At 53.6% G+C, this 20362-nt stretch overlaps 1 protein-coding gene across 11 annotated transcripts in view, besides 9 other annotated features; it reads right to left on the bottom strand.

The window, feature by feature from the left end:
- CEP72 (centrosomal protein 72) overlaps window positions 1-20362 on the bottom strand; it is a 64277-nt gene that overhangs the window by 18213 nt on the left and 25702 nt on the right. For 5 of the 11 annotated variants that reach the window (XM_047417363.1, XM_005248322.4, XM_011514064.3 and 2 more), the window contains 5 exons: window positions 19180-19315; window positions 17800-17996; window positions 13979-14105; window positions 10488-10599; window positions 2820-5416 (listed from right to left, as the gene is read on the bottom strand). In XM_047417363.1, coding sequence (XP_047273319.1) covers window positions 5251-5416; window positions 10488-10599; window positions 13979-14105; window positions 17800-17996; window positions 19180-19315 — 738 coding nt within the window. In that variant the 3' untranslated portion in view covers window positions 2820-5250. Of the gene's footprint in view, window positions 1-1315; window positions 1477-2819; window positions 5417-10487; window positions 10600-13978; window positions 14106-17799; window positions 17997-19179; window positions 19316-20362 lie in introns of those variants that run through there. The other 6 variants (NR_164122.1, XM_047417364.1, XM_047417365.1 and 3 more) reach the window with 4 other exon arrangements.
- Window positions 12017-12186: an enhancer, noted in NCBI's record as "experimental_86753 CRE fragment used in MPRA reporter constructs". NCBI's record gives its function as "activates a minimal promoter by MPRAs in K562 erythroleukemia cells, with activity observed for both the introgressed and non-introgressed 5:646418 variant alleles {active_cell/tissue: K562}" and the evidence as "EXISTENCE:reporter gene assay evidence [ECO:0000049][PMID:34662402]".
- Window positions 12951-13120: an enhancer, noted in NCBI's record as "experimental_86749/86750 CRE fragment used in MPRA reporter constructs". NCBI's record gives its function as "activates a minimal promoter by MPRAs in K562 erythroleukemia cells, with activity observed for both the introgressed and non-introgressed 5:645484 or rs12517638 variant alleles {active_cell/tissue: K562}" and the evidence as "EXISTENCE:reporter gene assay evidence [ECO:0000049][PMID:34662402]".
- Window position 13035: a transcriptional cis regulatory region, noted in NCBI's record as "Neanderthal adaptively introgressed variant 5:645484 (GRCh37/hg19 assembly coordinates) or rs12517638 in the experimental_86749/86750 CRE". NCBI's record gives its function as "modulates activity of the experimental_86749/86750 enhancer by MPRAs in K562 erythroleukemia cells {active_cell/tissue: K562}" and the evidence as "EXISTENCE:reporter gene assay evidence [ECO:0000049][PMID:34662402]".
- Window positions 13883-14052: an enhancer, noted in NCBI's record as "experimental_86745 CRE fragment used in MPRA reporter constructs". NCBI's record gives its function as "activates a minimal promoter by MPRAs in K562 erythroleukemia cells, with activity observed for both the introgressed and non-introgressed 5:644552 variant alleles {active_cell/tissue: K562}" and the evidence as "EXISTENCE:reporter gene assay evidence [ECO:0000049][PMID:34662402]".
- Window positions 14346-14846: an enhancer, noted in NCBI's record as "H3K4me1 hESC enhancer chr5:643673-644173 (GRCh37/hg19 assembly coordinates)". NCBI's record gives its function as "activates a minimal SCP1, AML or CMV promoter by ChIP-STARR-seq in primed H9 embryonic stem cells {active_cell/tissue: H9 hESC(primed)}" and the evidence as "EXISTENCE:reporter gene assay evidence [ECO:0000049][PMID:30033119]".
- Window positions 14674-14723: an enhancer, noted in NCBI's record as "active region_22298". NCBI's record gives its function as "activates an Ori minimal core promoter by ATAC-STARR-seq in GM12878 lymphoblastoid cells {active_cell/tissue: GM12878}" and the evidence as "EXISTENCE:reporter gene assay evidence [ECO:0000049][PMID:35858748]".
- Window positions 14744-14803: an enhancer, noted in NCBI's record as "active region_22297". NCBI's record gives its function as "activates an Ori minimal core promoter by ATAC-STARR-seq in GM12878 lymphoblastoid cells {active_cell/tissue: GM12878}" and the evidence as "EXISTENCE:reporter gene assay evidence [ECO:0000049][PMID:35858748]".
- Window positions 14847-15347: an enhancer, noted in NCBI's record as "H3K4me1 hESC enhancer chr5:643172-643672 (GRCh37/hg19 assembly coordinates)". NCBI's record gives its function as "activates a minimal SCP1, AML or CMV promoter by ChIP-STARR-seq in primed H9 embryonic stem cells {active_cell/tissue: H9 hESC(primed)}" and the evidence as "EXISTENCE:reporter gene assay evidence [ECO:0000049][PMID:30033119]".
- Window positions 15407-15576: an enhancer, noted in NCBI's record as "experimental_86741 CRE fragment used in MPRA reporter constructs". NCBI's record gives its function as "activates a minimal promoter by MPRAs in K562 erythroleukemia cells, with activity observed for both the introgressed and non-introgressed 5:643028 variant alleles {active_cell/tissue: K562}" and the evidence as "EXISTENCE:reporter gene assay evidence [ECO:0000049][PMID:34662402]".

Genomic DNA, 20362 nt, shown 5'->3' with positions numbered 1-20362 from the left:
GTATCACAAGAGGCTCACTGGTGAGGAATGCCCCTGAACAGCAGCAAGGGGAGGAGGCCGGGAGGCCTCAGGGAGGCTCTGGAGATGACCTGCTAGGGAGCTCCCTGTGGTTCGCATTAGGCCCAGGCCCTGCCTGCTTGGACACTGGCTGCAGCTGCCTGGATGAGTGTGTCCTCAGCTCCAGAGCCCAGGCACAGCCTGACAGCATGGTGGCTGGAGATGGTCTCTACCCCTGTACTCCCTGCCCCTGGATGGCAAGGTCTCGCTTGAAGGGACACAACTGTCCCTACATCTCTGCCACAGGGACACACACAACTTCAAATGTTGAAGCCATTCAAATTATGTGTGTTATACCCCCCAAAATGGAAAATTAAGACAATATGGACCAATTCTTAGAGACACATAACTTACAAAAACTAACTCGAAAAGAAATGGAAAGCCTGCTCAGCCCTGTGACTTAGGGGAAGTCACTGCCAGCTACAAAAGAAAACCCCTAACACTTCAGTGGCTGGACACACAAAATGTATTACTCACACAACGTCCAACTTCAGGAATAACAAGAGATCTCTTCTAACAGAAGACAAACAGACTTCCTAATCCTGTGATGCAGCTGCCCAGGTCACTGGCAGGGAAGCTATCACAGTGACGCACCAGCTCCCGCTGCTCTGGCCCTGAAATGACTCACCTCAGTCCCACACACAGGCTGTTGCTCAGTAGTCACACGGCCCCAGCCCAACTCAGGGATATGCAGCGTAAAGGCAGGGGGGACATAAGGATGGTCTGTGTGAACGGTTCTGCCACATCCTGGAACACTGAGTTATACTGGATCAGTAGTCAAACCTCCTGACAAAGAAAGTTCCAGGCACAAGTGACTTCACCAGCAAGTTCCATCAAACATCCATGGAAGAAATAATTATAATCTTAAGTAAATTCTCCTAGAGAATGGAGAAAGAATACACAACCTAGCTCATTTTACGGTGGTGTAAAGATGCGAATCCTTTCAAGAACAGCATTACAAAGGAAAATCGTAAGTGGCTGTCACCCGTGAAGAGAGATACTAACCACTGTACTAGAGCACGCAGCTACCCAGTGCTCAGGACGCACCAGATGCTGCCCGAGAGTCTTATTCATACTAACTCATTTCACCTTCACAACAATCCTGTGAGGAAGCCACTATTTCCCCATTGTACAGACGAGGAAATCAGGGCCCAAACACAGGTGCTAGGTAGTATAGCTGGGCCACAAAATGCTAAACAAAATATTAACAAACCAAATATAACAATATGTATGTAAAAGAAAATCCATAATTATTAAGTTGGACTTATCTCAGAAATTCAAGGTTTATTTTTAACAAAAGCAAATTATGGTCGTTAAACACATCAATATATTAAATGATAAAAATCATGGTCATCTCCATCACTGCAGAAAAAGTGATAAAAGTCATCCATTCTTGAGGCGAATTATTGATAGAAGAAGCTTTAAAACAAGCAAAAAAAATCCATTACAAGTGAGTGGATAAATGGTGAGAATTTATCACCCCTTTGAATATCAGGAAGAAGACAACGATGCCCACTCTGTTACCACCTCTAATCAGCACTGCACTAGGGGTTCCGACCAGTGTAGAAAAGCAAAAAACAAAACAAAAATAAAAACATAAAGTAAAAATCCAGAACAACAGGAATGGGAAAGAAAACCCATTACTCATAGAAAACATGACTGTGTGCCTAAAAATGAGGAAACAGCTACAGGCAAATGATTAAAATTACTAGACTGCCGGATACAAATTAATACACAAAAATGAATTTCCATGAAATGGCAACACATAATTAGGAAAATGAAATCCAAGCACATTTTTAAAAACAGCATCGCAAAATAACAAGGACCTAGGATTAAATGTAACAAAAGACATACAAGACCACTGTGAAAAGTATCAGGCTGTATGAACACCCGCTGAAGGAGCCCTAACATTTGGAGAGACAGATACCATGTTCAGAGCTTGTAAAACCCAGTACTGCAAGTACGTCAATGATTCCCAAGTTGATCTACAGGTTCAACACAATCCCAAACAAAATCCCAACTCGACCGGCTAGTTCTAAAATGTATGAAACACAAAGGGTCAAAAACAGCCAAGACATCCTAACATAAGATGGAGGTACGCGCCCCAGAGTGTGTGGTATTGGCAGAGACAGACAAGGAGATGCAGAAACGGACACAGAGATCATCCTGACAAAGGAATCTTCAGCAGCCGGGACTGGGAAAACTGGGCTTATGTCTGCAACACAATGAAACTGGATCCTTAAGCTTCACAACAGGCGCAAAAATCAATTCTGGGTAGAATCTATATCTAAAATCCAAAATATACAAAACTATAAAATCCTTTGGAAGGTAACAGAGTATCTTTATGATCAAGGCAAAGTAAAGATTATTAAAAATTAGGATCCAAAATGCTTTAATCATAAAAGAAAATATTGATACATTGGGCCATATTAAAGTTTAAAATTTCTCTTAAAAGACACCATTGAAGTAAAAAGACAAGAAAAGCTATTTGCAAATGTAATTCACAAAGCACTACTACCCAGAATCATAAATAACACCTGCAAATAAATGAGACAGACCATCCAATAGAAAAGTAGGGAAAATACTTGAATAGGTACTTTACAAACAGGAAATCCCAATGAGCCGCAGACACATGAGAAGGTGCTGAACAAGGAGAAGCCAATGAAACCAGAAAGAGGTCTACCCCACACGTTCCACCACCCCGCGCCCTCCGCCACCCCGCGCCCTCCACCACCCCACTCCCTCCACTACCCCACACCCACCGGAGTGAAGGTGCTAACACTTCAGGCAATGGGTGCTGAAAACATGGACCGGCAGACGTGGTCATACACAACTAGCAGTCGGGCCTGCGGGTACCACCACTTTGGAACAGTTGGGAATTTCTAGTAAACCTGTTAAAAACATGGTTAAGCAGTTAATGGAAACGTGAACATAATGGGATATAAAACTAATGAAAAAAATCAAATGGAGTTTTTTTGTTTTTTTTTTGAGACGGAGTCTTGCTCTGTCGTCTAGGCTGGAGTGCAGTGCTGCAATCTTGGCTCACTGCAACCTCCGCCTCCCAGGTTCAAACGATTCTCCTGCCTCAGCCCCCCAAGAAGCTGGGACTACAGGTGCCCACCACCATGCCCAGCTAATTTTCATTTTTAGCAGAGATGGAGTTTCGCCATGTTGGCCAGGCTGGTCTCAAACTCCTGGCCTCAAGTGATCCTCCTGCCTCAGCCTCCCAAAGTGCTGGGATTACGGTGTGAGCCACCCCGCCTAGCCTCAAATGGAATTTTAGAACAAAAATATACCTAATTTCTGATATAAAAAATTCACTATACAAGCTTAACATCAAATTAGGCAAGTGGAAGAAAAGATTAGTAAGCCTCGCAACAGGACAATAAAACCACCTAAAGGAAAGGATGAGAGAACAAGGATGAAAAAGCATCACGTTTAGTGACCTGAGAGACAGTATCACAGTCTAACAGAAAGCTAACTAGAGTCCCAGATGGGGACAGGGAGGAAGAAGTGAGAGACGGGGTCAGACAAGAAATATGAGTAGTGGCTGCAACTTTGCCAAATCTGGTGAAAAATATGAACTCACAGGTCCAAGAAGCTCAATGAAACCCAAACGAGGTAAGCATCTATAAGCTTAAAGTGGATTAATATTAACATCTTCTAATACTCTTACATACATAAATTACGTGATGACAAATTAACCCCATCCCAACCCTACAGAAAATAAATTTGGTATGACACATTTTCCTGTTAGGACCACAACTGGACAGAGAGGTGACACAAGAGGGCAGCCTGAAGCCTAGCAAGTCCTCTTCGGGGAAGAGACAGCAGAGTCCCACCTCTGATTTCCCCAGGGATACAATCCACACGCACACACACACACACACAGAAGCACACACACACACAGCTAGCAGACACACACAGCTAGCACACAAGCACACACATAGCAAGTGCACATACACAACGCGTGCACACACAGCACACACACAGGGTGCGTGCGCGCACACACAGCGCACACACAAGCGTACACACAGCTAGCACACAGCAACTGCACACACACACAGCAAGCGCACAAGCACACACACACAGCAAGCATGCACACACAGCTAGCACACACACAGCAAGCGCACACACAGCTAGCATGCACACACAGCTAGTACACAGAGCAAGTGCACGCGCACAGAGCACACACAGCAAGCGCACACAGCTAGCACACACAGCACACACACACAGCTAGCACACACACAGCTAGCACACACACACTAGGCGCACACACAGCACACACACACAGCTAGCACACACACACAGCAAGCGCACACTAGCGCACACACAGCACACACACACAGCAAGGGCACACACACACACAGCAAGGGCACACACACACACAGAGCTAGCACAGAGCATTTTCTTCTTAGGCCTGCTCATTCTTCCCAAATCAGTTGAACGTCATTTAAAAAATGACCTTGTCTTACCAATCACAGCAAGTATGACATAAGATATGAAGTTTCCAAACTAAAAATCTAGTTTTGTGTCCTATTATGACATAATTTTCAGAACTACACTGCAAACAAGAGAGCGAGCCAGGGCTTGGGTAGATGTTTCCGCTGTGATATGTTAATATCATAAGACAATATTTTTAAGGTTTTTTCCCCCACATCTATAAGTGTCACTTGTGTTAAGTCTTTGAACTTAATTATTCCCACTCACCTATCATGGTGCACAGCTTGTTCTATAAAAAACTCAATGACAAACTCAGTTATAATTTGTATACAGCCACTGAAAAAGTTAACTTTTCAGAACAATGTATTTGTTTATTAAATAAAGATTGCTTGTTACACAGAAAATTATTTTCTTTAATTATCATACATAGCTCTCTTTCACATCAGGCAGTAGAACACTGCATTTACTTCATCTCAGGATACTGGATACAAGATTAATAGTCAGTTTGTCTCAAAATATGTCAATGTGTTCTGTCTGAAAACATGCAGAGGGCTTGGAGTAATCATATCATTTTACGAGGTGCTTTAGAAAACCAAGCTACAGGTCCTGAATACATTCCAAAAATCCTAAATAATTACCAACAGAAGAGAGAACTCTTGCCAGCCAGTACACTCAATAAAGAAGTACAAAGGTGCAGACAATGTAACTTTACCAGGAAGCTTAAGGGGTGGCCCAGCTTCTCGGCAGGAGTCAGCAGGCCTGGCAGCCTCCATGGCTGGCGCTGCTGTGTGGAAACAGGGCCATGGTCTTCTTGAGCTCCTGGTAGCTCCAGTGCATCTGCTCCACCTCGGCTCTGTGCTGCGCCCGCACCTGGCTCAGCTCCTGCAGCAGGTGTTCATTGGTGCTGACCAGGGAGCTGCAGAACAACAGGGAAGCGGCTGCTTGGCACTTCCGTCCTCTCCAGCGGTGTGGCCCTCACCTGCTGGGCCTGCCCACCTCCCTGCATGGGCACGAAGGTGCCCTGGCCCTGCACACAGACCTATCTCTGTGGCCCCATCACCTTCTGTGTCCCACTGGCTACCGCCCACCTGCCTCCTCCTTCCCAACCACTGTCCTGACCCCTGGGAGCAGCCTTGGAGGTGCGGCTCAGCACCTATGGAATGAATGAATGAGCTGAACAGGCTAATGAGTGACTGAATGGCGCCTTGGCTATTCCAGCTACGCATGGTTTTATGAGAAGATGATAAACTTCATGGCTAGCAAAACAATGTTCTAATTCTAGAAAATATACGGGGACTGAAATAGTTCTAATTCCCAGTCAAATATAATAATTTTGACATCATAATAGTGCAATAGAAGAGTCCTAGTCTTTAATGCTGTTGACCATTTTTATTTTAGAAGTAAAGTGCTATTACATTTTACCCACTTTGTCACCTCCAAATTGCCCTAATCACCCAGTCAGCGATGACCTGAGGACACTCAGGGCATTACAAGTATTAGACAAGGCAGGGCCCACTGACCTCGGTCACATTAGCCACAGAGATGGGCACCCCACTGACAGGGCCACTGTGCAGGCCCAGGCCCTGTTCACTTGGACAGCAAAGGAGCCGCAGGCCAGGACTGGATGAAGCCAGCATGAATCCTGGGGGCAGAAGCCCAATGCCACCATGTTTGGGAGCTGTGCACCCTGCCTTGTCCACATCCAGGCCACAGTGCTCAAGGAGAATGACCCCCAACTGTACCTTGACCTGCCACAGACAGGCCCACCAGGTTCCAGGGAGTCACATGGCCCTGCCCACGACTGGGCACTGCACCCGCGGCCGCCACAGTCCCCTTCCTTCTGCTCCGCTGCATCTCCTCTTGGCCCAGTCTCATCTTTCAGGACCCTTCCCCTCTGTAACTTACACCTGTGATGGGCCCCATGGGGGTCTGTGGCCTTTATCCTGTAAGGGGCAGAGCCTGGCTACGCCTATGACCAGACTGTGGTCGAACCCAGGTAAGTGTGGCAGCCTCAGCCTGAGGAGTGGGGGAGGGAGCGGGAATGGGAGGTCGGGGGAAAGGAAGAGGGAATGAAAGGGGGAGGGGAGGGGGAGGAACTGACCACAGACCAGCCTTCCCTGCTGAGGCCACAGCAACAGGGGTTCACACAGCAGCACCCACAAAACTGCCCAGAGCGACCTGTCCTTGCCTCCTCCAGCAGCTCGCCTCTTCCTTTCTGCACCCAGCCTCCAACCACGTCCCGGCACACAATTCTTAAAAGACAAACTAAGATTCTGCCTTGAAGATCCCCTCACACCCAGCCCCCTTCTCACCATCCCCCTATAGCCAGGGAGTAAAGGTGAAATCTCCGTGTTTCCAACTGAACACGCACTGCAGTGAAGGGGGAAGCACAGCTGCCGGACTACCGCCCAGGGGAACCAGGTTGCCCCGCCGTGCCCGACCATCTCTCATGCACCTCTCTCCCCTGGTCACACTGCACACAGGTCATATCTCACAGTCCACAACTCTCAGTCCACACCTCACATTCACAACTCACAGTCCATGCCTCAGTCACACCTCACAGTCACACCTCACAGTCCACGCCTCACAGTCACACCTCACAGTCACACCTCACAGTCACACCTCACAGTCCACGCCTCACAGTCACACCTCACAGTCCACGCCTCAGTCACACCTCACAGTCCACGCCTCACAGTCACACCTCACAGTCCACGCCTCACAGTAACACCTCACAGTCACACCTCACAGTCCACGCCTCAGTCACACCTCACAGTCCACGCCTCACAGTCACACCTCACAGTCCACGCCTCACAGTCCACGCCTCACAGTCACACCTCACAGTCCACACCTCACAGTCACACCTCACAGTCCACGCCTCACAGTCACACCTCACAGTCCACGCCTCACAGTCACACCTCACAGTCCACGCCTCACAGTCCACGCCTCACAGTCCACGCCTCACAGTCACACCTCACAGTCACACCTCACAGTCCACACCTCACAGTCCACGCCTCACAGTCCACGCCTCACAGTCCACGCCTCACAGTCCACGCCTCACAGTCCACGCCTCACAGTCACACCTCACAGTCACACCTCACAGTCCACGCCTCACAGTCACACCTCACAGTCACACCTCACAGTCCACGCCTCACAGTCACCCCTCACAGTCCACGCCTCACAGTCCACGCCTCACAGTCCACGCCTCACAGTCACACCTCACAGTCACACCTCACAGTCCACGCCTCACAGTCACACCTCACAGTCCACGCCTCACAGTCACACCTCAGTCCACGCCTCACAGTCACACCTCACACCCACAGTCACACCTCACAGTCACACCTCACAGTCCACGCCTCACAGTCACACCTCACAGTCCACGCCTCACAGTCACACCTCACAGTCACACCTCACAGTCCACACCTCACAGTCACACCTCACAGTCCACGCCTCACAGTCACACCTCAGTCCACGCCTCACAGTCACACCTCACACCCACAGTCACACCTCACAGTCACACCTCACAGTCCACGCCTCACAGTCACACCTCACAGTCCACGCCTCACAGTCACACCTCACAGTCCACGCCTCACAGTCACACCTCACAGTCACACCTCACAGTCACACCTCACAGTCCACGCCTCACAGTCACACCTCACAGTCCACGCCTCACAGTCCACGCCTCACAGTCACACCTCACAGTCCACGCCTCACAGTCACACCTCAGTCACACCTCAGTCACACCTCACAGTCCACGCCTCACAGTCACACCTCACAGTCCACGCCTCACAGTCACACCTCACAGTCCACACCTCACAGTCACGCCTCACAGTCACACCTCACAGTCACACCTCACAGTCCACGCCTCACAGTCACACCTCACAGTCACACCTCACAGTCCACGCCTCACAGTCCACGCCTCACAGTCACACCTCACAGTCCACGCCTCACAGTCACGCCTCACAGTCACGCCTCACAGTCCACACCTCACAGTCACACCTCAGTCACACCTCACAGTCCCACCTCACAGTCCACACCTCAGTCACGCCTCACAGTCACGCCTCACAGTCACGCCTCACAGTCCACACCTCACAGTCACACCTCACAGTCACACCTCAGTCACACCTCACAGTCCACGCCTCACAGTCACACCTCACAGTCCACGCCTCACAGTCCACGCCTCACGGTCACCCCTCACAGTCCACGCCTCACAGTCCACGCCTCACAGTCCACGCCTCACAGGCACACCTCACAGTCACACCTCACAGTCACACCTCACAGTCCACGCCTCACAGTCCACGCCTCACAGTCACGCCTCAGTCACGCCTCACAGTCCACGCCTCACAGTCACACCTCACAGTCACACCTCACAGTCCACACCTCACAGTCACACCTCACAGTCACACCTCACAGTCCACACCTCACAGTCACACCTCACAGTCACACCTCACAGTCCACACCTCACAGTCACCCCTCACAGTCCACGCCTCACAGTCCACGCCTCACAGGCACACCTCACAGTCACACCTCACAGTCACACCTCACAGTCCACGCCTCACAGTCCACGCCTCACAGTCACGCCTCACAGTCACGCCTCAGTCACGCCTCACAGTCCATGCCTCACAGTCACACCTCACAGTCACACCTCACAGTCCACACCTCACAGTCACACCTCACAGTCACACCTCACAGTCCACACCTCACAGTCACACCTCACAGTCACACCTCACAGTCCACACCTCACAGTCACGCCTCACAGTCACGCCTCACAGTCACGCCTCACATTCACACCTCACAGTCCACACCTCACAGTCACACCTCACAGTCACACCTCACAGTCCACACCTCACAGTCACACCTCACAGTCACACCTCACACTCAGGGTTGATACCTCACAGCCCACACCCCATGGTCACATACCTCACAGTCCCATCTCACAGTCCATGCCTCGTGGTCACACCTCACAGTCACACCTCACAGTCACACCTCACAGTCACCCCTCACAGTCCACGCCTCACAGTCACACCTCACAGTCACACCTCACAGTCACACCTCACAGTCCACACCTCACAGTCACACCTCACAGTCACACCTCACAGTCCACGCCTCACAGTCACACCTCACAGTCACACCTCACAGTCCACACCTCACAGTCCACACCTCACAGTCATGCCTCACAGTCACGCCTCACAGTCACGCCTCACATTCACGCCTCACAGTCACGCCTCACAGTCCACACCTCACAGTCACACCTCACAGTCACACCTCACAGTCCACGCCTCACAGTCCACGCCTCACAGTCCACGCCTCACAGTCACACCTCACAGTCACACCTCACAGTCCACACCTCACAGTCACACCTCACAGTCACACCTCACAGTCACACCTCACAGTCCACACCTCACAGTCACACCTCACAGTCATACCTCACAGTCACACCTCACAGTCACACCTCACACTCAGGGTTGATACCTCACAGCCCACACCCCATGGTCACATACCTCACAGTCCCATCTCACAGTCCATGCCTCGTGGTCACACCTCACAGTCACACCTCACAGTCACACCTCACAGTCCATGCCTCACAGTCATACCTCACAGTCACACCTCACAGTCCACACCTCACAGTCACATCTCACACTCAGGGTTGATACCTCACAGCCCACACCCCATGGTCACATACCTCACAGTCCCATCTCACAGTCCATGCCTCGTGGTCACACCTCATGGTCAGACCTCACATCCACACCTCATGGGTCACACTTCATGATCCACGCCTCACACATGCGACAGACAGCATGAAGGGCCTCCGTTTTCAGAGAGGAAAGTTTATGAAAGTTTCAAATCAGCAGTGGTCCTGGATATCATCGGCCAAGACTCATGAGGAGCTGCTCCTCTGTGCCTTCTGGGTGTGACCCAGTCCGGCCCAACCCTCCCTGTACCTGGGCCTCCTCCCCTCGGGGGCCCACCCAAGTCTCACGGGCAGGCACCTGTGGCTCTCCTGCAGCATCTGCGTGAGCTCCTGGATCTTGTCGTAGTGCTCCAGGTGCTGCTTCAGTTCCACAATCTCGCCACACAGCCTCTTCACACTTGTTTGAAGTCCTGAAAGAGAAAGAAAAAAAAAAGTACCATTAATGAGTAAAACTCATTAATACATTTTGAAAATGAAAACAATTCTACATTTAAACTGGATCTTGGTTACCAGAAAAAGAATATAGCTGGAAAAGATCAGTATTAATGAGACTCAAAGACAGGGCGAGCATGAATGCCACGGCCCCTCCCTGTGCTGTTTCTACCCTGGGCCCTCCCCAGGCTGCAGCTGTGTGGTCTGCCCTCCACAGGCCCCCATGGAGCCACATCCCTGTGTGAGGGCAGGGAGAGGCGGCACTGGCTGGCAGTCCCTCCACTGGGCCTGTCTGCTGGTTCCTCCTCCACAAGGAAGCACACTGTGCCCCTGAAGGGAGGGCCTGTGGGTTTCGGGAAAAGCACCAAGCAGCCCACAGTGGCCACAGGTCTCCAAAGTGCCCTCTGACTCTGCAACCATCAGTGATGGAATATGTGGCTGGTTTCCATCTACAAACTCCTGCCTGTTTCTGGATTTCCAGCACAAGAGGAGAAGAGAGATACTATTTAGTGGCTCCCCAAATCCAAACACGGGATACAAATAAACCCACATGTAGACACACTCTTGCAAAACCACACAGTGACAGAGGCAGTGAGAAAGCCAGAGGTGGGGAAGGTGGTGGGCAAAGGGTGATGGTGACACGGATGGCAGGCTCTTCTCACCCACAAGGCAGCAGTGCCGCAGGAGCATCCACAGTGTGAAGGCCACGCCGCGTGAAGTCTATGTCGATGGACATGTTCACGTAGGGCATGAATGAAGGAAGCGCAGGGCGGCACAGCTTCAGGACCTTCCAGTCCCCGTGCTGGCCAAACCAAGAGTCCTCAGACGGCAAAACCAGAACCCCAGGGACAACACTACAGCATCCCAGAGACAAGGAAGCCTTGGGACCCCAAACACAAGAGGCTGGGACAAACCCCCAGAGGCCACAAGTCACACATCATGTCCACCTCTGCGGGAGTGAGGCAGCCGTCAGCAGTGGGTGGCCGTCAGCTCTGAGAACGGGACAGCCCCCAAGTGTCCTTTGCTCCCTTGGGAAACCCAGTGGGCCAATCAGGGAACCACGGCCCTGCCCCTCCCATGAGGGTGAGGCCAGGGGCCCCCATGCAGTCTGCAAAAGCTGAGGCAGCCGTGCAATCCCTCAGAGCTGACCTGCCTGGTCTTCTAGAACAGAGCCTGCACCAAGAGGAACAGCTGGTGTGGGGTCAGGGTCAAGGTCAACCAGGATGACGGCATCAGAGAAGGGTGGAGGAGAGAACAGGGCCTGAGAATCCCCAGAAGGAGGCTGCCCTATCCTTGATCCATGAGGTCAGAAAACCTGCCCTGACCCTGCCTCCTCCCTGAAATCCAGAAGCACAATTTTCATGTAAAAAGCAGCAGAAAGTATTGAAGCCAAATCCCAGTTTCTGTAAGGCAAAGGGTTAGGGCGCAAGAACATCCCTACGAGACAAAAAGGAAATGACAGAAGAAACGAAAAAACAACGTAAGTCATAATTAGAAATGTCAGAAAAGAGGGTTCTGAACTCAGGGAAGAATTAGCAATAAAAGAAAAAATTCACACTGGAAGTGAAGGCTAAGAAGGAGTCTAACAGAAAGTCCAACAAGTCCTCGCTTCGCACTGATGGTTCTGGAAACAGCCACGAAGCAAAGCGACCGCCGTGGAAAGAAGCCGAATTCACCATCCACACAGGCCGCCAATGGGAGCAAGAGTGACGCTCACACAGTGTAACGAAGCCGAATTCACTGTCCACACAGGCCGCCGATGGGAGCAAGAGTGACGCTCCCACAGTGTAAGGAAGCCGAATTCACCATCCACACAGGGCGCCAACGGGAGCAGGAGTGACGCTCACACAGTGTAACGAAGCCGAATTCACCGTCCACACAGGCCGCCGACGGGAGCAGGAGTGACGCTCACACAGCAATTTCTAGTCACAAGAACATCACCAAACCACCAAAGACCAAGACACCTCTAACATTAAACACTAAAATAAATGGGAGCTATGCATACATTTAAGACCGAGTAACAAAGACAAGTTAGACTATTATTTACTCTGTTGTTCCAGTTCAGGGGCAGAGGTGGCTGCAGCCTATCCCAGCAGCTCAGGGCGTGGAGCGGGTACCAGTGCTGATCAGATGCCATCGCACAGCAGGGCGGCTGGTGCCTGCACTCACTCGAGATGGGACAGGTCAGACACAGCAACACCCTGGCGTGCACAGCTTTGGGGCATGGGGGAAAACAGCGCACCCAGAGAAAGCCCACAGAGCCGGGAGAGCAAACCACACACACAGTTCTCCCGGGCAGGGAACTGTTTTTTTTTTTTTTTCTCATCACCTTTACGACGAAATGATGTTGAATGGACACGGTTATTCAAGGACCCGTTGTAAATATAACAGTATCTTAAAGAAACAGAAGATAGAAAAGCAAAATTTATAAATAAAAAAGAAGACTCTAAGGAACTCTTACCGCTCGATAAAACAACCCAATAAAAACCAACGGGCGAAAGATCCAAGGAGACGCTGCCCCAAAGGAGACAGAGCGGCCACAGGCCTCATCCACAGCTGCCTCCCTGCCGCAAAGGCCACCGCTGGTTGGGACAGACATCGTGAGACCCACACGCCCTGAAACGGTTACTACCTGGCCTTTGAGGAAAAGTCCATGAGCCCCTGAGAGGCTAGACCAGGAAGAGATGCTCGACTTGTCAATCTCAGGGAAGTATGAGTTAAAACTTCCAAGAGACTCCACGCCACACCGAGAAGGTTACCGTGGACAGCAGACTCCATCAGCATTTCCTTATTTAAAATCCAGGTATCTGAACTTGAAATACTGAATACACTTTTGTAAAAATAGCAAAACAGAACAAAAAAAGTGAAGAGAGGGAAATGAGAAAGATCTGCATCTTGACCACAGCAGGCCTGCTCGGGAGAGACACGGGTTCACCAGAAATGCAACCTGAATCTGTAACGCTGAGACGCTGGGCAACAGGCTCATTCACCAAATTCGATGGCAGCATAACCATGGGAGGACGCCAGACAGGAGCAGCAAACCCCACAGTGACCAGGCCCCTCCAGCAGCTGCAGCCCTGACACCCTGTGCTGAGGGGAGGACGGTCGGGCAGGGTGAGGACAGGGGTGGCCTTGCCTCCTACATCCATGCCAGGACTGCCCCAGACACACGTGTGTGCCATAAACTCCGGCCGAGGCAGCCTCCACCCCAGCCAGTGAGGCAGGGGCTCGGCTCCCCACTTACCAACTGCGTCTGCTGCTGCTCACTTCCCTCAGTGAAGAATTTAAAACAAAGTCTACCTAGGCACATTTGAACACCTAAAGTTTACAAAGTGACCAAATACACGATCAACTTACCAGCGATCTGCAAATTTAACGTGGCTGCAGTGTCTGCACTCTTCACTTCCTTTTTCATACTCAACAAAAGCGATTTTAACCTACTGTTCTCTTCCAAAGATTTATCTAAATGTTGTCTCAAATCATCCTGCGGACACAGAAAATACACTTAAGTGCACAAGTCAAATTCAGTAAAATGCGTATAGAAAGTAAAACTGAAACCTGAGAATCCCCAGAGGGTTCCTTCTGCATACTTGGGAGTCACGATGTGAAAGGCAGTAATTCAGTTTCACGGTACATCTCCCTGCTCCCAGCCCGCCCTGCCCAGCCCTGCAGCACCCTCAGGGGAGGGGGGAAGTGAGGAGAGGGATGGAAAGGAGCGCCCCAGTCCTGTGAGAGCCCCACTCCTGAGTCTCCCTGAGGCATGTGCTCCAGCAGGACCTGCAGGCCTGATGCTGGGCAGGGCAGCTGGTGGCGGTTGGGGGAACCCTGTCTCTTCCAGGACGCCCTCACGGACACTGCGAGCCCCAGGCCTTGGTGCCAGTGTGAGGCACCGGTGGCCCTGCAGGAACCCCCTTCTGTTCTGGCTCCTTTCATATCCTCAAAGTATGGAGAAGACCTGGAGCACAGGACGAGCTGTCATCGAGGAGGGGAAAGGGCCACGCCTGCAGCTACACGGCAGCCTCTGCCCCTCCCTGGCCCCAGGGTGTCTGGTGAGGTGTGAGCCATCCAAGCCGCCAGCACCTGCGGCCAGGGTCCCCAGGGATCCCGTCTCACCTGGCTGCTGCTCTCTCAGGCACCAGCAGGCACATCCTGGGGCCGGGGGTGCTGAGCAGGCCCCAGCTCACTGCCACCAGGGGAGGGAGCGCCTGAGTCTGTGCAGCAGAAGCCTCGTGCTGGGGGTATCGCCGCTTCATCCTTCTCCGCTCAGTGAGCCCACCCGCCGACAGCCCCCTCAGCATGCATGCACCCGCCAGGCCCCCGACGCCCATGGTGAAAGCTGATCGCTGGGTCTGAGACCATTCCCCTCAGGCTTATCTTGGCCCGTTCTTCATTTCGCGGACTTCTCCCCAAGGTGTCTGCTGCAGTGGCGCCAACCAGCATGACCTGCCCTCCGCGCGGGGCTTTGGGTCGTCCAGAAAGCTCCTGGCAGTGCCACGTCTCATGGTTTTGCCTCCCAAGGATGCGGTGAGCTCTTAAGGCAGGGCTGTGAGCTCCCAGCTCTTTTTCATTTGTTTCTTTGAGGCAAAGTCTCCCTCTGTCGCACAAACTAGAGGGCAGTGGAGCAATCACAGCTCACTGCAGCCCCCAACTCCTGAGCCTCCTGCCTCTACCTCCCAAAATAGCTGGGATGACAGGAGTGTGCCACCACACCTAATTTTTTATTTTTTGGAGTCTAGGCCACGACAGGTGCAGGGAACAGAGGACCGACTGCACCCAAGCTGGGCGCAGCCCATCTGCCTCAGAGGCCGTGCCAGGCACAGCAGCTGGAAGTGGGGCCACCTTGCCTCAGGACACCCGACTGCAGCTTCCAAAGGAAGCAAGGTCTAGGTTCATGTGACCGAGGGATGAGCGTCCTCACGTGGCAGAGTAAACTTGGGTGCTTCTGGAGTGACAGATGTGGGCCTCCCTGGAAAGCAGTGCCCACCAGCCTGCACGGCTGCTCCCTCCGCGGGGTTCCTGACGGTGCTGACTGCTCCTTACCCGCGGGGCTCGGGCTGCCAGATTCTTCTGGATCACTCACCCTGACAGGGAACCAGGGCTGCTCTGTCCAGAGGCCCAGGGCTGCCTGCAAACTGCAGGGGTTAGGCAAACTGCAGAGGGCAAAAAAGCAGGCGTCCACGGCAGCCACAGCTGCATGTGACTCTCACCCCTGGCAGCACTGGTGCTCGGCACACCTTTGGGCTCCGCCTGTCAGCTCTGTCTCGTCCCAGGCTCAGAAGGGCAAGGGGTGTGCCTGACTGTGTCCCACAGAAAAGACATCATCAGTGACGGCGCCCAGCTCACTTTCCAGACAGCCGGTCACGTGTGTTTCAGTATAAAGGCTTCCAGACGGGGGGCCACACGTGTTTAAATATAGAGGCTTCCAGAGAAGGGGCCATGTGTGCTTAAATCCAGAGGCTTCCACCAGATGAGGGGCCATGTGTGTTTAAATACAGAGGCTTCCAGAGGAGGGGCCACGTTGGTTTAAAAGCAGAGGCTTCTGGACGGGGGACCACGTGTGCTTAAATGCAGAGGCTTCTAGATGGGGGACCACGTGTGTTTAAATGCAGAGGCTTCTAGACGGGGGACCACGTGTGTTCAAATGCAGAGGCTTCTGGACGGGGGACCACGTGTGTTTAAATGCACAGGCTTCTGGACGGGGGACCACGTGTGCTTAAATGCAGAGGCTTCTAGACGGGGGACCACGTGTGTTTAAATGCACAGGCTTCTAGACGGGGGACCACGTGTGCTTAAATGCACAGGCTTCTAGACGGGGGACCACGTGTGTTCAAATGCAGAGGCTTCTGGACGGGGGACCACGTGTGTTTAAATGCACAGGCTTCTGGACGGGGGACCACGTGTGTTTAAATGCACAGGCTTCTGGACGGGGGACCACGTGTGCTTAAATGCAGAGGCTTCTGGACCGGGGACCACGTGTGCTTAAATGCACAGGCTTCTAGACGGGGGACCACGTGTGCTTAAATGCACAGGCTTCTGGATGGGGGATGGGGGGCCATGTGTGTTTAAATGCAGAGACTTCTGGACGGGGGATGGGGACCCACGTGTGTTTAAATACAGAGGCTTCCAGATGGAGGAGGCCCACATGTGTTTAAATACAGAGGCTTCCAGATGAAGGCCACGTGCAGAGGCTTCCAGGCGGGGTGGGGGGGCCACGTGCGTTTAAACAGAGGCTGCCTGTGTTGTTTTGCTGTGTTTTTCTTCTCTAAAGAGGAAGCGTTGTGTGGGATCTCTGAGATGTTGGTTCCCATGAAACGGACAGTATGTACTTGTCAGACAAGTTCAGAGGCAGTTTTCGAAGCCGTCCCGGGCCGACTTCACTCGCAATTTAAAGATGCTGACAAGGCCCCTCTGGATGTGCACATCCTCACGTGGCTCTGCCCTCACACCAGGACTCCCGGAGGGCGGCTTCTGCCTGGGTGTGGCTCTCTGACCACCAGCTCCCTGTGCTAAGGATGCCAGCAGCCCGTGGGGAGGCCCTTGCAGCGTGGAGGGAGCCTGGGAGGATCCTGTCCCGTGAGGCCTCAGATGAGACGGTGGCCCCAGCCCACGGCTGAGACAGAGCCCCCATGAGGCCTCAGATGAGACGGCGGCCCCGGCCCACGGCTGAGACGGAAGGAGGGAGCCTGGCTGAGCTGAGCCTGAGGCCCAATACACAGAAATCCAAGGTGATAAATGCAGGTTTTCAGCTGCTGGTTTTGGGGTAACTTGCCCTGTAGCCCCAGCTCACCATGGGACACTGGCCGTCATCTCCTTCATAAAAGGAGAGTGGCCTCGGTTTTCCCCAGTTCGAGGCCCTGAGAGATGGGTCAGCAAGACAAAGTCACGTCCAGGCCTGGCTCCTGCAGCACCCGGCACTGCCCAGTGGTGGAGGGTCCCTTGGGCCCGGGGAGAGAAGGTGGCCAGCGCCACTGCTGTCTCCAAAGTGCTCCAGGCCTGTTGTGAGACAGGGCAGGCCGCGTTCCGGGGGTGGCCGGGTCCCGGGCAGGGAGTGGAGACATGGGGCTGCAGAGATGGCAGTTGGGACAGTGTGGCATCAAGGAGCTGCCCTCGTTCCTGGAAGTCAGAGCCATGTTTCCCCCAGTCACATGGACACAGACACAGCGCCAGGGCGGGCTCACCAGCTCCTTGTGTGTGTGGTGCAGCTCCGCCGTCACCTCGCTCATCTCCCGGGCGTGCTGCTGCTGCTGCTCAGCAAGGCGGCTTTGCAGGGACTTACTCTCCAGAGCCAGGGAGCCGACATCTTCACCCACCATCGCAGAGCTGTCCTGAGCTGCTGTGAATTCTTCAACAGATGACAAGATGTGTCTTGCCTGAGCTAGGAGTGAAAACCAAATATTACATTAGCACTTAGGCTTAAAGGATGAAATGTAAACAAAATCGGCTCAGTATGTTTTGAATCACACAGACGATGCCTCAAAAAGACGACAGGTAGGGAGAGGGGAAAGGGGTGTTGGCGCCACAAAACCACCTCAGGCTCTGTGCGTCCACACACGGGCAGGGTGGGAACTGAAGAAAGAGAAGAGGTGACCTCCAAGAAAAGGGGCAACCAGGGGCCGCCACGTCTCAAGGTTTCAGTGGCGCCGCCACAACTCGCTGCGCCTTCCACAAGCACCGACTGCCCTGTGTGGAAACCACCATGCAGACGACAGCTGGCAACTCCACACTGGGACAGTGGCCTGGGCCTGGGACAGTCCCCCCGCCACCGACGATGGCAAGCTCAGGAGGCTCCCACAGGACACCAGCCTAGGGAGAGGGGAGGTTTATGGGGCTGGGGTCCAGGTGGGCTGCGACTGCAGGGCGTCCTCATTCTAGGAGCTGAGGGGCTATAACACTGCAAGGCGCAGTCAGACAGCTCAGAGCCGTGCCCAGGGTCTGCGGGGAGAAGCACACTGGCTAGGCTCCTGAGGGACACACACAGCCACACCCCAGGATGCAGGACAAAGAGAAGGTGCCCCTGGGGACGCGGCATCTCCTGGTCTCCCAGTGTGATCCTGGATGAGGGAGGCCCCAGTGTGCTCATGTACGGGTTGCCTGGTAGAATCCAACAGACCCAAGTCCTCTCTGGGGAGGGACCACCCTCCTGGGTCCCACACCAACCAAAAGCTCTGCAATCCAGGCCCAGCACAGGCTACACGTCTGGGTCGGGGGAGAAGATGCTGAGCAGCTTCCAAACTCCAAATCCCCATGTGATCACAGCCATCAGAACCAAGCCCCTTTGGACAGCATTTTGAGCAAAATGAGGTGACAGGCCCCCCAACACCCCAGAGCACAGCGGGGGACCCACAGGCCCAGGCCCATGTGGTGTCTCCCGAGAGCCCTGGACACTGTGAGATGCAAAGACTGCCAGGGAGGGCCCAGGCGCGGGACCACCACACGCTCGTGGGAGGGGACATAGGAGACCTGGGGCTGAGATGACTCCTAGGTCACCACACGCAGAGGACCCCGGAACCCACACAGACGCTGCCTACAGGGCAAGAGCAGTGGCCGCCCTGACTCACCAAGGAATGCCTCGTTGCTGTGCAGGGACCTGCAGCCGCCCCAGCTCCTGTCCACCAGGTCCAAGAGCGTCTCCAGGAGCGCCGCCTGCAGGGCCGTCTTCTTCCCGGGTAGAGCCGAGTGTGACCCGGGAGACGGCTGTGATGGAAACAACAGCATGAGGCCAGCGAGTCAGTAACTGAGGTCCTGAATGCCAGCAGGTGCCCAAGCGCACCCTGGGATGCCCTCGCACCACGAAGGGGAGGACAGGTGCCCTGAGGCCCCAGCCCTGAGCCAGGTGGAGGGCGGCTCAGCAGTGCCTGCCCAGTGAGGCTTAGCCAGGTGCACCGGTCCTGGATGAGTGAGGTCTCGATGACAGGACAGGACGGGGCCCACACATTCCCAACTCAAGCAGGCCCCAGACTCCTCCCCTCAACCCAGACAGGGAAGCGGAAGACACATCCAGGCCGCAGTCAGAGCCTGTGTTCAAAAGGAGCTGCCCAGGAAGCAGCCTGCACCCACAGTCAGGCTGGTAGAGGGTGCCAGGCGCTGTCCCCAGCAATGGCCCGGAGTCAAACAATAACCCTGAAACAGACCGCCCACCTCCCCCATCTCTGCCTCCTTCCAGCTCAGGACCTGCCGGGGACGTCAAACACGCCCCACCCAGCTCTGGGACCCCCCCCCACCCCATGCTGCTACGGAGCTGCCTCTAGCTCCGGCCATGCCTCCCTTCCTGTCCCACAGTTCCGCACCTTCAAGCTCCTCTGCCTGCATGGGAGTCTGAAGCCCTCGTTGTGGCAAGTACCAAGTGAACAGCCCCTGCCTGTTCCCTTCTGGGTGGTCTGCACTCATGTCTACAGCAGGTGTGTCTCAACGCCTCTGACTGGGCCTGCGCCAGTTGTCCCCCTGACCTCTAGGTCACCCTGAGGGTGGAGTGACTCGGTCTCTCATCACAGCGACCTCCAGGATCCTCCCCTCACGAAAGGGTCATCAATGGCTCAGCCGGCCAAGATGCCCGATTCCAGCTTTGGAGACAAATGCCCTGTGCACCGTAAGGCAGAGTCCCCTCTCTCCACCACGGGGCTTCCACTCAGAACAGCAGCGCAGGACAGCGTGTGGCACAGAGGCACACGTCCAACAAAACGCAGCAGCAAGCACCCTGGAACCCTAAGTGTGATGATTCCCTTTATCCTGGGACACGGTCAG

The sequence above is a fragment of the Homo sapiens genome, chromosome 5, assembly GCF_000001405.40.
Source record: "Homo sapiens chromosome 5, GRCh38.p14 Primary Assembly".
Classification (NCBI taxonomy): domain Eukaryota; kingdom Metazoa; phylum Chordata; class Mammalia; order Primates; family Hominidae; genus Homo; species Homo sapiens.
This window is presented reverse-complemented; position numbering and strand designations above follow the sequence as displayed.